General features: G+C 35.4%; 1 protein-coding gene across 8 annotated transcripts in view; it reads left to right on the top strand.

Annotated features, from left to right (window-relative positions):
- WDR72 (WD repeat domain 72) overlaps positions 1–15331 on the top strand; it is a 249138-nt gene that overhangs the window by 38183 nt on the left and 195624 nt on the right. For 7 of the 8 annotated variants that reach the window (NR_102334.2, XM_011521436.3, NM_182758.4 and 4 more), the window contains 7 exons: positions 1788–1894; positions 8011–8089; positions 9329–9503; positions 10186–10262; positions 11805–11924; positions 13215–13360; positions 13743–13839. Coding sequence is in view for 7 of the 8 variants with exons in the window: in XM_011521436.3 (XP_011519738.1) it covers positions 1788–1894; positions 8011–8089; positions 9329–9503; positions 10186–10262; positions 11805–11924; positions 13215–13360; positions 13743–13839 (801 nt within the window). In the remaining variant the exon portion in view is untranslated. The remainder of the gene's footprint in view (positions 1–1787; positions 1895–8010; positions 8090–9328; positions 9504–10185; positions 10263–11804; positions 11925–13214; positions 13361–13742; positions 13840–15331) is intronic. The other variant, XM_047432345.1, reaches the window with a different exon arrangement.

Here is a 15331-nt window from a genome sequence, read left to right as displayed (position 1 = left end):
ATTGTAATCCCCACATGTTGTGGGAGGGACCCCGTGGGAGGTGATTGGATCATGGGGGTGATTTTCTCATGCTGTTCTTGTGATAGTGAGTGAGTTCTCGCGAGATCCTATGGTTTAAAAGTTTGTGGCACATCCCCCGTCACTCTCTGTCTCCTGCTCTGCCATGATAAGATGTGCTTGCTTCTCCTTCACCTTCCACCATGATTGTAAGTTTCCCGAGGCTTCCCAGTCATGCTTCCTGTTAAGCCTGTGGAACTGTGAGTCAGTTAAACCTCTTTTCTTCATGAATTACTTGGTCTCAGGTAGTTCTTTATAGCAGTGTGAGAATGGACTAATACAACAATCAAATTAGTTAACACATCTATCACCTCACATAATCATTTTTTGTGTGTGTGGCAAGAACTCTTAAGACCTACTCTCTCAGGAAATTTGAAGTATACCATATAGTAGTAACTATAGTCACCATGTGTACATTAGATCCCAAAACTTATGTGTAATTCAGTGTTTGTACCCTTTGAGCAACATTACTTCATTCTTCCCTCACCCCCAGCCATTGGCAACCACTAATTCTGTTTCTATGAGTTTGGCCTTTTAGGTTCTGCATAGAAGTGAGATCATATAGTATTTGTCTTTCTGTGTCTGGATTATTTTATTTAGCGTAATATCCTCTATGTCCATCCATGTTGTCACAAATGGCAGGATTTATTTCTTTTTTATTTATTTGGCTGTATACTATTCCATTGTGTATACAGTCGGCCCTTCATGTCCATGGCTTCTGCATCCATGGATTCAACCAACTGTGGATTGAAAACTTGGAAAAAGAAAAGAGGATTGCATCTGTACTAAACGTGTACTGACTTTTTCCCTTGTCATTATTCCCTAAAAAATATAGTATAAAAGCAATTTACATAGCATTTATATTGTATTAGGTATTATAAGTAATCTAGAGCTGATTTAAAGGATATGAAAGATGTTCATAGGCTATATGCCAATACTTTTATATTGCAGACTTGAGCATCCTGGCATTTAGGTACTTAAGTGATGGGGCATGGGGTGTGGGGCAGCTGTGTCCTGGAACCAGTCCCCCATGGATAATGAGGGAAGACTGTATGTGACACATTTTATTTATCTCTGCATCCGTTAATGGACACTTAGATTGTTTCCATATTTTGGCTGCTGTGAATAATGCTACAATGAACATGGGGGTACAGATACCTCTCTGAGATACTGGTTTCATTCCCTTTGGGTATATACCTAGAAGTGGGAATCCTGAACCATGTGTAAGTTCTATTTTTATTTTTATTGAGGAACCTCTATACTGTTTTTAAAAATAGCTGTACCAATTTACATTCCTATCACCATATAGGGTATTATGGTGGTTTCAAAAAGGGTAATATTTTCTCTTGTATTATTTTGTGAAGTTATTTTGAATTCTGAACTCTGAACATTAATGTGCTACTATTATTGAGGGGACATTTTGTTCAGAGGAAGCATCAACACAGACTTATTTGTATTCACAACCTAGCTGTTGTAAGACAGGCTGGCAGTCATGGAGGTTTCATGATGGACACCAAACCAAAACAAACAAAACCTGTCTACAGCACAATTCCTCTACCTAGAAGTTTATTACTCTGTGGATGTTGTTATTACATATATCAGTTTTCTTAAAACTTGTATACAACAAAAACAACAGAATTTCCTAATCAGAGTTATGAATACTATATTGTGGTGTTTTTATTCTTCAAACAGTTTACAATTATTTAAAAGCTCACTCTCATTATTTTCAGATTTCAGCGAAAGAACTCCTATTTGGTCATTCAGCTTCGGTAACATGTTTGGCAAGAGCAAGGGACTTCTCTAAACAGCCCTACATTGTTAGTGCTGCTGAAAATGGGTAGGTATGGTATGTAAACTTTGTCCCCTTCTCCATTTCCTTCCCTTTTTAAAAACTACAATGGAATACAATTTTAGGGCTGAAGGAAACCTTTGTGATCAACATGTGCCTCTCACATATAGGAACATTTAGATATAGAAAGTTTGAATAACTTGTGTGATGATCCCAAGGAATGTAATCAGTATTATGAACCCTCACTCAATACTCTTGTTGCTGGATTGGGACCAAGTTAAGCATCTCAACATGTGTATCAGAACTTGTAGCACTCTTACTGGGTGAGGGTCAGTGACCAATGCCTAGTATTGTAGAATCAGCAATGAAAAAGTCTAGGTGTTTGTCTTTTCTCATGTAGTAACACACTTTGAGCTCTTAAGCAAACCCATCCAAGCTTTCATAGTTTTACAAAACAATTTAATAGTTACAGTCTTCATGTTGTACCCTTGTCTGATGCTACTATAAAACTAACAGGCCGGGCACGGTGGCTCATGCCTGTAATCCCAGCACTTTCGGAGGCTGAGTCAGGCGGATCACCTGAGGTCAGGAGTTTGAGACCAGCCTGGCCGACGTGACGAAACCCTGACTCTATTAAAAATAGAAAAATTGGCCTGGGCATGGTGATGCATGCCTGTAATCCCAGCTACTCGGGAGGCTGAGGAGGGAGAATTACTTGAACCCAGGAGGCAGAGGTTGCAGTGAGCTAAGATGGCGCCACTGCACTCCAGCCTGGGCGACAGTCTCAAAATAAATAAATAAATAAAAATAAAAAATAAAAATAAATAAATAAATAAATCTCACAGAGGAGAGGACTCAATTATCAGTAGAATGGTGGCAGAGAGATGGAAAAGGAACATAGCCAGTGATTTGGGTGCAGTGTCACGGGAGCAAAGCTTGCCCTCATGAAATAGGACTTACCTGTAGGAAAAAGTTCCACTGATGGAAGAAATACTATGAACTAGGCTCCTGATGAGTTATTTTCCAAAATATACTCAGGAATGTCATATCAATTCAATATGCATTTATGAATAAGGGATTGGGTTTCTAGTTGAAACAAGATAAGCCTCTCTTTTGTTTTTAATACAAAGAGAAATTATACGCTTCTGAATTCTGAAAACCAAAAGAATAGTGAGGAATCAAGGTCCAGCTTGTATAAACAGAATAGTTTAATATGCTGGCTAGTTGAACAGGTATCAAAGAGATACCTATTTTCATAGCTTATAGTAAATCATTAATTGTAATATTTAGAGGGATTGAACTTTGGATAAGTCTAAAGTGAAATGTCCTAATACATTCCTTTTTTAACCTTTGCTTGTAGCTTTCATTCACCAGGGCTGCCACAAAGTCTGCTACACATGCTGAGATATTTATTCCCAATCTAGAGAATTTTGGGGATGGTGAATTTTTTTCTGGGGCTACATGAAAAAATTGAGAAATACATAATAGCTAACTGAGAAAAAGGTCTGAAAAGTTACTGAGTTTCAGCTTCAGATCTTTGCCCATAGTGATCTAACTCCAAAAGAGAAACTAGGGGTTAATGGATATATTTTTGATGAAAGATGAATTCTGCTGTATGAGCCCTGTAAATATTGTTGAAGAGCCTGGGAGTCTAGTTTCAGTCTACCTAGCTGTCCTCCTTCACCAAGTTGATTTGAATTTTCTAGAACTTTGTGCTTTTGAGGTTTCTAAAACTTATGCTGTATCTATAAGATACTTTTCAGGTAGTACCTATGCTTCAGCTACTGTGTTCTTAGCAAGTCTTAACTTTATTCACTGGAAATTATTACTCCTACTAGGCTTGCCCCATTATTTTCCAAACAACAATGCATATTTAGATTTGAGAAGTCCCAGATATTGGCTATGGACTTAGCATTTTTGCCTTTATGGTGACCAGAGGGGACCCAGAGTTGCTTTATGGCTCAGTGTTTAATATTTTTCTCAAATTATTATTTTATTTGTAGGCATACATCCTCAGATTCAGCAATCACAGAAAATTCTAGGATAATGAAAATAAACCACTGGAGATCTGATGTTAAAACAACAGAATGCCAAAGAAAAAGAGAAGATCCTGTAGGTAGACAGTGAGAAAAAGCAGTTTATTTACCAAGGAGTGTTAATTAAGCAGAGAGCTGACTTCCCAACTGTAATGACAGCAGTGAAATCCCTTCAAAAAGTGGACAGAAAATATCTGTCAGCTTGGAATTGTATATCCAACAAAAACACTTTTGAAAAATTGGGGCAAAATAATAAACCTTCAGACAAACAAAAACTAAAGGTACTCACTATACCAACAGACTCACGATAAGTATAATAACACATTTCTAAATGATATTCTTTAGTAAGAAGAACAATGATTTCAGAAGGAAGATTTGAGATGGAAGAAGGAATTTTGGACAAAACCCAGCAAAGCTGCAGAAACTTTATAAGACATAATGATATTTATATACACCCATTCACACACACGCGATTCTGGTCAACAATAGCATATAATAATGTAGTAATAAGATCCCACACATTCTGGTGTTCTAGAGGTGGGTAAAGATGTTGATTGACTTTAGACCTTAAGCTATATTTATATGTTTACGTTTCAAGTATTGTTTAGTAGCTACAGAAACAATAGACAAAAGAAATAAAAAATAAAAGAAAGAGTATGTAACTTTTAATTAAAAAAATGTTTAATTCAAAGAAAACAATTTTTTTTAAAAAATGGGACAAATAGCACAAAATAAATTAGTAGAATAAATCTGAATAAAATAGTCATTCCAATTACATATTATCATATGTATACTAATCAAAATAAGGTTGGTATGACTATATTATTTTTATATATGTATAGTTAATAAAATTTTAAGGCAAAAAGCCTTGGCCCCAATAGAAAGGTTTATAACTTATTAATAAAGGTTTAGTTACTGGCAAGAGATGAGCCCAGAGAAGTAGGGCACCAGGACTTGGAAGCCGCTAGGTGAGTGCTTCTCAATCCTGAGCGTGCACCAGAATCACCTGCAGAGTTTGTTTAATTAGAGATTTCTGGGCCCCACTACCGAAAATACAGATGTAGTAGGTCTGGGCTAGGGTCTAGTAACTTGCGTTTCCAAAGCATTCCTAGACTATGCGGGTACTGCTGGCCCAGAGCCCATATTTGAAGTAGCAAGTACCCACATTTGGGAGCGTGAGAGAAAATGTTGGGTCAAGAGTTACGGGAAATTTATTAGTAACGATATCATTCATTGAGATAATGAACCAAAGAGAGAAGATGCTATGCTTCATATTGAACATGAAAGTGTGTGATCTCCTGAAAGTCACACAGGTGGAGATGTCTAAAAGCTAGTTGCCTATAGAAATATAGAGCTGAAGTAAACCGCTCTGGGCTTCCAATAGCATAATAACAGTACCTGAAGCCAGGGGAGTAGATAACTTACCCAGGAAGAGAGTGAAATATAAGGATGTAAGAAAGTATAAGACAAATATCTAGGGAAAACCAGCACTTAAGAAGCAGACAGAGGAAGAAGAGGAGGCTGAGAATGCCAAAGAAAAAATGAAAGTATAATAAAAGACAAGGGAAAAGAGTTTGAAAAATGTAATAGACTTCCAATGCAAGATGGCAAAGCAAGCATTCATGTTTATCTCCTCTCCTTCCAGACACTTCATTAAAGTTTGATCAAAACTATAGTGTTATAAGCACACAAATATGAAAAATAAGAATGAGGTCAAGAGAAAATAATATATTTCCAAAAGATAGAAAGTGTATGGAAGAATGGTGGCTGATGTATTTATCCATGGAACAAATTTTTATTGAGGTGCTGAGGTGGGGATGTAAAGTTGAGTAAGACCAAAAAATTCCCCTTTTCAAGGAATTTGTAGTGAGAATATAACAATTTTCTAATGTTATATGTCGTAGACACTTTCATCTGCTGTTTTCTTTTCATTGAAATAAAAATTTAAGAATTTTTAAGCTTTTAAAAATTCTTAAGATTTTTAAAATTTTTAAAAATCTTAAGGTTTTTAAAATTTTTAAAAATCTTAAGATTTTTAAAATTCTTAAAATTTATTAAGGTTTTAAAAATTCTTAAATTTAATTTTTTTATAACAGAATGTGATTTTAGCTATGTACAAACTTAGGCGACAGCTTCAGAAAATGAAAAGATTATGTTTTTTAATAGTTCAATTTCATGTCTTATTTTTACCTATGTAACTTATATGGTTCCAGGTAAGATGTCAGTGTTCCATTTCATACACCACAAATTTGCTTTCTTTTATTAAGCAAAATTGATAGGCAAAGAGCAAATTTTTGCTTTGTGATATATTTTCATTTTATTTTCAGATTTAATATAGAAAATAAAATGATAAGCAAACAAATAGGGAAAGCAATGGGATCCAAGATGGTTTAAATACATTAATATTTTTAAAGGAACTTTTACTGGTGTCCAGGTTCCAATCCTGGAAAATGTGAATTAATTGGCCTGATTTGATATCTGCATGGTCAGCCATCAGTATTTTTTAAAAGTTCTCAAATAAGTCTAATGTATAGCTAGAATTTAGAGCTACTGGTTTAGAAATGGGCTAGAAACAAGTCGACTGACCAGGTGCTTTTCAAAACCACACATGCCAGGATCCCAACACAGAGTCATGGAATTAGAATCTCTGGAGATAATATTTGGAATAGTATCAGGTGGTTGTTGATGCATAGCTAGAGTCAAAAACCTTGTTAATAAGCTCAAATCCCTTAAAGAGCTAAAATTTTATAATGTTGACTGCTTAAGGTTCAATTACTTTACCTTTGCAATATGTTTCTTTATTTTATAGATGCATTATTAGTTTGTTTCCCTTTGAGATATATTATTTCAATATCTACCTTCCTCCCAATCTTATTTTTTAGTACATACACACAGACACACACAGAGAGATTTTTTCCTCCTATTTTATAGAATTATATGTCTTTTCAGGTTACCTGAAATCTTTTTGGAATGAGGCTGGATATAAACAGAGGGAAAATGCTATGAATATTTTGTGTGTATTTCTAGAATATTATTTCTCAACCTCAGTACTAATGGCATTTAGGAACAGATAATTCTTTGTTGTGGGGTACTGTTCTATGCATTGTAGGATATTTGGCAGCATCCCTTGCCTCTCCCCACTAGATGCCACTAGTGTGTTCCTAGTTCCAACAACCAAAAATATCTCCAAATATTACCAAGTGTCCTTGGAATGTAGGGGGAATAAGGGGTAGCAAAATTGCCCCATTTTAAGAACTACTCATGTAGAAGATTGAGTTCCCATGGTTGGTTAGAAAAACAAAAAAGCCTGCAAATCACCAAATGCATACAGTTGTTGACATTATTAGTCTATATATTTTGTTTCTTAGTATAATGGCAGTATCTCCTTTAAGGCCTATAAAACTTTTCTTTTTCTTGCATGGAAAATTTTGCTTATGTGTTAAAACTCTCAAGACTGAAGAATATTACCAAACAATTCTGAAACAGCCATTCTGATTTTTGTGAAGTCATATAAACTACCCTATGCTGGGTGTACTTTGTATTTTAAAACTATGTCTTTGTAATACATAAACGAAGTAAGAGTTTTCAAAATAATAATATTTTTCTAAATATTAAGTGGCAAGGATGATTTTAGGATTTCAAATCAGGAGAAGCAGAGATAAACTGTTATCGATGATAGACCAAATGTAGCCTCTTGGTGGCACTGTTTGTTTTTACAAAAATGATACATTGGCCTCAGAAGATGCAGCGCTTGATGCATTGTGATTTTCAGAATATGTAGTTTAAGTTCAGTGAAATAAAGCATTTTCAAGAGGATACAGTTTCCACTGAAAGATTGTTGTACTGTCACTAACAGGCTGTGATAGCTGTATCCCCACAATTTGTTGTAGGCCAGGTTGTCTCTAAAGTAAGGTTTGCAGGCTGGCAGCAGGGTGTAATTACCCAAACAAAAAGATACAGATACAGTATGTCATCCCTGCTAATGACCACAACATTTTCTTGCCCAAAATCTGTAACAAAAAGCCACATAAATGATCAGGCTGCTAAAGAAAAACTTGGTGGCACAAAAATTATTCCAGCCAATTGAGTGGAAATGACAGAGAATAACACAAAGTTATCTTCTGCTAGGGAGATGTGTGTTTGGAATGTCACCAATGGACAGTGCATGGAGAAGGCTACACTTCCTTACAGGCACACTGCAATCTGTGTAAGTACACTCACTTCCTTCAGGGCATTTCTAGATTCTGCAACTTGTTTAGGGCATTTGCAAATACACTTCTAAAGAAACATCTTTGGAGAATATTCTTTGCTTGAATTTTTATTTTGTCATGAGGGTCAAATATCACCAGTAATTGTCTGCTGTTTTGGCATTTTGCTTTCCCAAAAAGTATTATTCAAGCAGATTTTCCCCCTGATTCTTTCATTTTTGTATCTTTCTAACAGATTTGAAAGACAATTTCCATATATTGCCTTAGTGCTACAAAACATACACATACTTGTACATGTGTAAAAATTCAGTTTTAATGATGTGCTGTCTTATAAAGCACACACAGTTTTTTTCTCCCTCATTTCCAATTTTAAACCCTATGTTTTGGTGGATAGGTTCTTAATTTCTCTGTATATAACTTTTATAATCACTTCCCAATCTTTAAAGCAAATCTTGGCTTTTAGTAGATGGTTTCCAAGCATATGTAGTGTGGTTGCATGATTCCAATGGTGCTGACCGTGTTTTAAAATATTTTACACTCTTAGTGTTGCTGATGTGCATTGTAACATTCATGAACTCTCTTCTATTTTTTTTGGAAATAAAACCCTGCACAGAGAGAGCTGGTTGAAAGTAGAATGCATTACTTGATCTTTAATAAAAGATTTCCAAAACTTATTTGGCATAATAATCCTCAAATGCCCTTCAAATACTTTATTTCTTTTTAACATACAGCATTGTTGCTATGGCAAGGAACCTGGGTTTTGTTGTTGCTATTAATTTTTTCTCTTTAAGAGACAGGGTCTTGCTCTGTCACCCAGGCTGAAGTACAGTGGTGCTAACGGCAACCTCAAATTCCTGGCCTCAAGTGGTCTTCCCACCATAGCCTCCTCCCAAAGCACTGGGATTATAGGCATGAACCACTGTGCCTGGTCCTGTTGTTGTTGTTTAGTTCCAAGTTGCACTCCAGAAATAATATAATTGTGAGCTTTCCATGATTTAGAATAAAATTACTTCTTCCAAGCGATCTCTCTTTCCCTAGAAAAATCATGAGATGCAAATGAGACTAAAGTGCCAATAGGAGTTTGGAATAACTGAACTAAGAGAAATTTTAGTTGCTATTCAGTTCAATACCTTAATTGATCATATGCTAAAACTAAAGTCTAGAGAAATCTTCAATGTAGCCAAATTATGTTAATTTTAGTGATAATTAAATGTTTGCTTTGCTTTCCATGTACGTAGTATTACCACTGCTCATTCCGGATGACAGGAGAAGGCTGGCTTCTTTGTTGTGGAGAATATCAAGATGTCCTTATAATTGATGCCAAAACTTTGGCTGTTGTTCACAGTTTTAGATCATCTCAGTTTCCTGACTGGATCAACTGCATGTGCATTGTTCACTCCATGAGAATTCAAGGTAATAGTTGGATATTATCTGACAGTAGAGAGATTGCATATAAAAATATCTACTTTTGAATTATTTGTCAAATTATTGGGCAGAAATTCAGAAAGAATGCTTCTTTATGCTTACCTGTTAATGAGGATATGTCTGTAATACACCTGATCAAGAAAAACTAAGAACACCCATGCCAGTGGTTCAAAACATTGGAAAGTCAGCAAAAGGTTAAGATGAGGGGGAAAGAGGAGAATTTGTGTTTTTATAACCAAGTTCTGCTTGTTACATTTTAAGAGTGACAAGCAGGTTTTGTTGTGGATTAGCAGGACTCCTGGAATTTTGCCCTGCTGTATCTTCTAGATGTAGTATTGATAATTCAGTTTCTGTAATGAGTGACTGCAAAGGGAAGTGGAAGTTGGCGCCTCACTTACTTCCGAAATAGGAAGGTTTCATTTTATGATGATTTGCAATGTGGTTCTGCTTCTAGTGGTGCTCTTCTTATACCTAGGAATCACTTTGAAATTTTAAAACAGATTTGGAGCACGATGTAAAATGTTTATTTTTTCTAGTTAAAAAGTAACTCCAAAGCTGAAAATTTTCTATCTACACAGCCCTGCGTAATTCTTAAATGACTGTGAAATGATTTTTACCTACCCAATTATATCCATGGTAAGCTTATATGTGACTTTTATTATTTTCACAGAAGATTCTCTCTTGGTGGTATCAGTAGCTGGTGAGCTCAAAGTATGGGATCTTTCCTCATCTATCAACAGCATTCAGGTTGGCTTGGGAACCCTACTCTTTTTTCCTTACAATTTCAAGCATATTCATTAAAATTTATAAATTTTAAGGCTATTACATGTTTATTGTCAAAAGTTCAAATAACATAGAAGTGTATAAATTCTACTTCCATATATTTCCCCCATCCATCTTCCCAGGGGTGAGCCTTGGTACACTTGGCTTGTATCCTTCCAACCTTTTCTCCATGTATATACAAATGTTTTCATTTACACACACACACACACACACACAGAAAGATTACATTTTTAATCTTTTAAAAAATAGAACATCTCTCTGTTCGTTACAGAGGAAATCCCCCTTTTTTCTGAGTATATGTGAACAGTGGCAAGCAAATGACCCTAAAAACTTGAGGGGCATGTCCCTGGGGAGTCCAGTATATTCATCTATTCACTGGCATCAGGCTACAAGTTGAGATGATGGACAAAAGAACAGCCATACTATGTGTGTTGATGACAAAATTATTTAGGCTTCCCCAAGGAGTTCTGGGGTCTTTTTAGGAATTTATTGGTTGAGGAAGCCTAGGAATTGTGATGGTATGCTGAGCTTAAGAAATACACATCCAGCATTTTCACAAACTTATTGAGAACGTACTATTCTATGTGCTGTGTGTTGGCACTTTGTTCATTTTTTTTCTGTTTAAGCAATCAAAATACTAGGCCATGCACAGTGGCTCACGCCTGTAATCCCAGCACTTTGGGAGGCTAAGGCGAGCGGATCACCAGAGGTCAGGAGTTCAAGACTAGCCTGTCCAACATGGTGAAACCTCGTCTCTACTAAAAATACAAAAAAAAAAATTTAGCAGGGAGTGGTGGAGTGCACCTGTAATCCTAGCTACTCAGGAGGCTGAGGCAGGAGAATCGTTTGAACCCGGGAGGCGGGGGTTGCAGTGAGCCGAGATCCTGCCACTGCACTCCATCCTTGGCGACACAGCAAGACTGTGTCTCAAGGAAAAAATAAAATAAAATAAAATAAAATAAAATAAAATAAAATAAAATAAAATACAACAAAATAAAATAAAATAAAATACTGTAGGTTTTTTTAGTCATCATTTTAGATTTTTTTGTTTGACCTTTCTGCCATATCTAACAGTCTGTAGCTTATTCTCATCTTGACATTCTCAGCATCCAGCCGTAGTTCCCCAAAGAATGTTTGTTGAATGGTTGCATGTAATGAGCCCTTGAATCTAAGTGGATTTCCTGATCACAGCTTTTTTTTTTTTTCAAGAAATACATCCTATATTTTTTAATTTTTTTTTTTTTAAACTTTCAGGAGTACATACGCAGGTTTGTTATACAGGTAAATTAAGTGTTGTGGGGGTTGGGTGTACAGATTATTTCATCACCCAGGTACACAGCTTCTATTGCCAAGTAACTTCTTAGTTCAAAACACTCAAAAGGTAACTCAGATACTTTTCGTTTTATAATGGTGTGATCTACTTGAGATGTACGGGAAGCAGGTCTTCTCATGGCTGTGTATGAATTACCTGGAACTAGTACTAAAAGATTTTCTTTCCTTTTGAAGGAAAAGCAAGATGTCTATGAAAAAGAATCCAAGTTTCTTGAGTCCTTGAACTGCCAGACAATTCGATTTTGCACATATACTGAGAGACTTCTATTGGTGGTATTTTCTAAATGTTGGAAGGTATTATAAAGTAACATAATAAATACCAGTGATGTACAAGTGTAATTTTTTTTGTTTTGTACAAAAATAAGAATATGATTTAAATATGATACAAATTCTCTGTAATAGTATTACCAGAACATGGAATGATGTGTCTTTTATGACTGACGTAACAGTTTTTTTTTTTGGCGGTGGGGTGGTTGACAGTCTCACTCTGTTTCCCAGGCTGGAGTGCAGCGGCACGATCTCAGCTCACTGCAACCTCCACCCCCCAGGTTCAAGCAGTTCTCCTGCCTCAGCCTCCTAGTAGCTGGGATTATAGGCGCATGCCACCATGCCCGGCTAAGTTTTGTATTTTTAGGAGAGACCGGGTTTCACCATGTTGGTCAGGCCGATCTCAAACTCCTGACCTCGTGATCTGCCCACCTCAGACTCCCAAAGTGCTGGGATTACAGGCGTGAGCCACTGGACACGGCCTGACATATCAGTTTTTAACTCTCTAATTAATAAAATTAGGATATACTACTACATATTTAATATCATGGTATATGCAACAGTTTTGTATCCCAAGATATTATATATGTAGTAGCATATCCTAATTTTAGTAACAAACCATAATAACAATGAATATTTAGCTCTAAATTGTTTTCAAAATTTGGTGTTTACATTTCAGAACTAAAAATATACTTTTCACCTACATAGTTTGATTATATTTTTAGATGTTTTACTTTTTCTACTTTGTCACTACATTTGTTTTAAGAGGGACAAACGTTATTTTCTTGTGAATATGTTCGCTGACATTTCCAAGAAGAAAGAAAAGCTAAGTTGCCATCATTTCATAACATTTATTTTTCTTTAAAGTTTTTTATAACTGGCTCAGTTAACAAAACTATACAGTCTTACTTGTGTGGTGATAATGTATTTTTGAACAAAGATTTAAAAGTATATGGTCTAGCAAAAGATTTACGTGATATATATTTTTTATGTGCATAATACATTTTCAAATGTAAAACTTGGAGTACTCATTATGGAAAGAATAAAATTACTTAGAAATTTTGGGATTTGGGGTTTCTATGTTTAGTGTACACACTCTGGAATGATATAACCAGATGAACTGTATCCCCTGAAACCTACCCTAAGATAAATATAAGTCAATAAGTCATGGTAAAATATCATCTTAATATGAGAGTACAGTATGGTCTGTTATTAACGCTTACTATGTTGTTATATTATTACTATCATAATTTATATTCATCTTATTGGCAGACTAGATTTAAGCCTTTGATAATGTGCATCAACTTCATATTTTAGGTTTATGATTATTGTGATTTTTCCCTTCTGCTGACTGAAGTTAGTAGAAATGGGCAGTTCTTTGCTGGTGGAGAAGTGATTGCTGCTCACAGAATCCTCATCTGGACAGAAGATGGTCACAGTTACATCTATCAGCTGCTGAACAGGTGGGCTCAGATGGGAGCGGCATACAAAACATTCAGGTAGAAAATGAACTTTGGGAGGTTTATTATGGAAAAATCCCTGCATGCTGCCCATGATCAAAAACCAGAACAAAACAACTTTGGCACTAGAAGATTTACTCTGGGCTTGGTAGGCTTCAGCCTTTGTACAAAACAGCAGGGGATGGAGGAATGAGATTAACCATGTATAACTTGTACAGCTGGTGCTGGGTTTTCAAAAAGTCACTTGTAATTATTAACCCAACAATTTCTAACTAGAGTTTAGAAACTTGAACGGTACCATCCGGCTTTTGAAAGTGGGAGGGGGAAAAAAAACGAATAAAGAACCTCAAAGTTCTAAACTTTGCTTTTTATTTTTGCCACGCAGTGGGCTTTCAAAAAGCATATACCCTGCTGATGGAAGAGTGCTTAAAGAGACCATTTATCCTCATTTACTGTGCTCTACTTCTGTGCAGGAAAATAAGGTAATGCAAGAAAAGAGTGACTGCCTCAAAGCTGTTTCACTCAGTTTCTTGGATAAGTGTTGCTTTGTCTGTCACAGAATCAGGCTTGAAAAAATTGAATTGAAGCATCCCATCAAGTTGTTAATGAGAAAATCAAGTTTAATTATCAATGGCTACCAAAGAGAAAACTTTGTCTTTAAAAATCTGCTATGTTTAAGTCTGTATTTTAAGTTTATAATGAAACAATATGTATTTATTATAGGAAAATTATAAATGTTAAAAAGAAAGGAGAAATTAAAATTCCTAATTTCACCGCAGTACATATTCACTGAGATTTTTTTTTACTTTGTTGTATGTATTTACCTATTTTGATTGGAAAATTTTCAAATAATTGGAAAAGTTTCAAGAGTAGTGTAGTAATTATTCATATACGTTTTACTTAGATTCACCAATTGCTAACATTTTGCTATATTTACTTTCTCATTCTCTGTCTCTCTCTCTGCATTTGTGTGTGTGTGTGTGTATACGTACAAACACATACACACACACCACACATTTTTTCACTGACCCTTGTGATAAATGGTGTGACAAAACATTGTTAACATTTTTACGTATCTACTCCAATTTTTAAACTTTATGAAATGTTTTATGTTCTGTTTCTTTAATCATATATTGATATCATTTTCAGATGTATTTAGCTATTCTTACGAATAAATTTTCTTGTTAAAACAAATATAATTATGCTTTTGGCAGAGAGTTGAGAATATAAATGTGAGCTTATTACTTGACTGAATCATACCTCTGACATTCTAGGAAGCCTGAAAATTTAAGCAGTTGTTTTCTTTCAGTAGTGTTATCCAAAGTGTTTCTTTTCCCTGAGCCTTTGGACTTTGTCATCAGTTAATTATCCATAAACGTTATTTCATGGAGAGTGGAAGAGTTTTGAATTATTGATGTGTCAACCAAGGAAGCATGCTACTTTTAACAGAATGATGGTTTGCTTAATTAGGCAGCATAGCTGTTGGAAATCCTATAGTTCAGTGATTGTCCCTTTAACATATCTGTGAGGTTTTGTTGTGAAAACTTGATTAAGAAACTGTCAGCCAAAAATTAGAACCCCAAGTGCCACTGGGACACAAGCAAACTTTATAATTACGGCATGCATCAACCACTATTTCTAAAATTATTTGTGGGCAGTAATAGGTTCCTGTTTTGCTGTCGATCACAAAAACAGTATTGGGGCTTACTCAGAAAAGCATATTCAGTTATTTTTTAAAGGATCTGGTCTTTCCTCCTTAGCTTTGAATGCATTTTTACAAAGCACAGTTTGCCCTGAAAGCCAATGATCAGTTGTGCCCTTTAGGGGCTTCTTGTTCCTGAAAATTTCAATGTTATGTATAACCATGAGGAAAGAATACAACAATTAAAAAATAACTAATCTCATGGGAAGTTACCTTGCTTTGTTTCTCAAAATGTGAAGACATAAGCTTATAGGTCTTTTACCAGTAATTCT

The sequence above is a fragment of the Homo sapiens genome, chromosome 15, assembly GCF_000001405.40.
Source record: "Homo sapiens chromosome 15, GRCh38.p14 Primary Assembly".
Taxonomy (NCBI): Eukaryota; Metazoa; Chordata; class Mammalia; order Primates; family Hominidae; genus Homo; species Homo sapiens.
Note: the sequence above shows the minus strand (reverse complement) of the source record. Positions and strands in the feature narration are given on the sequence as shown.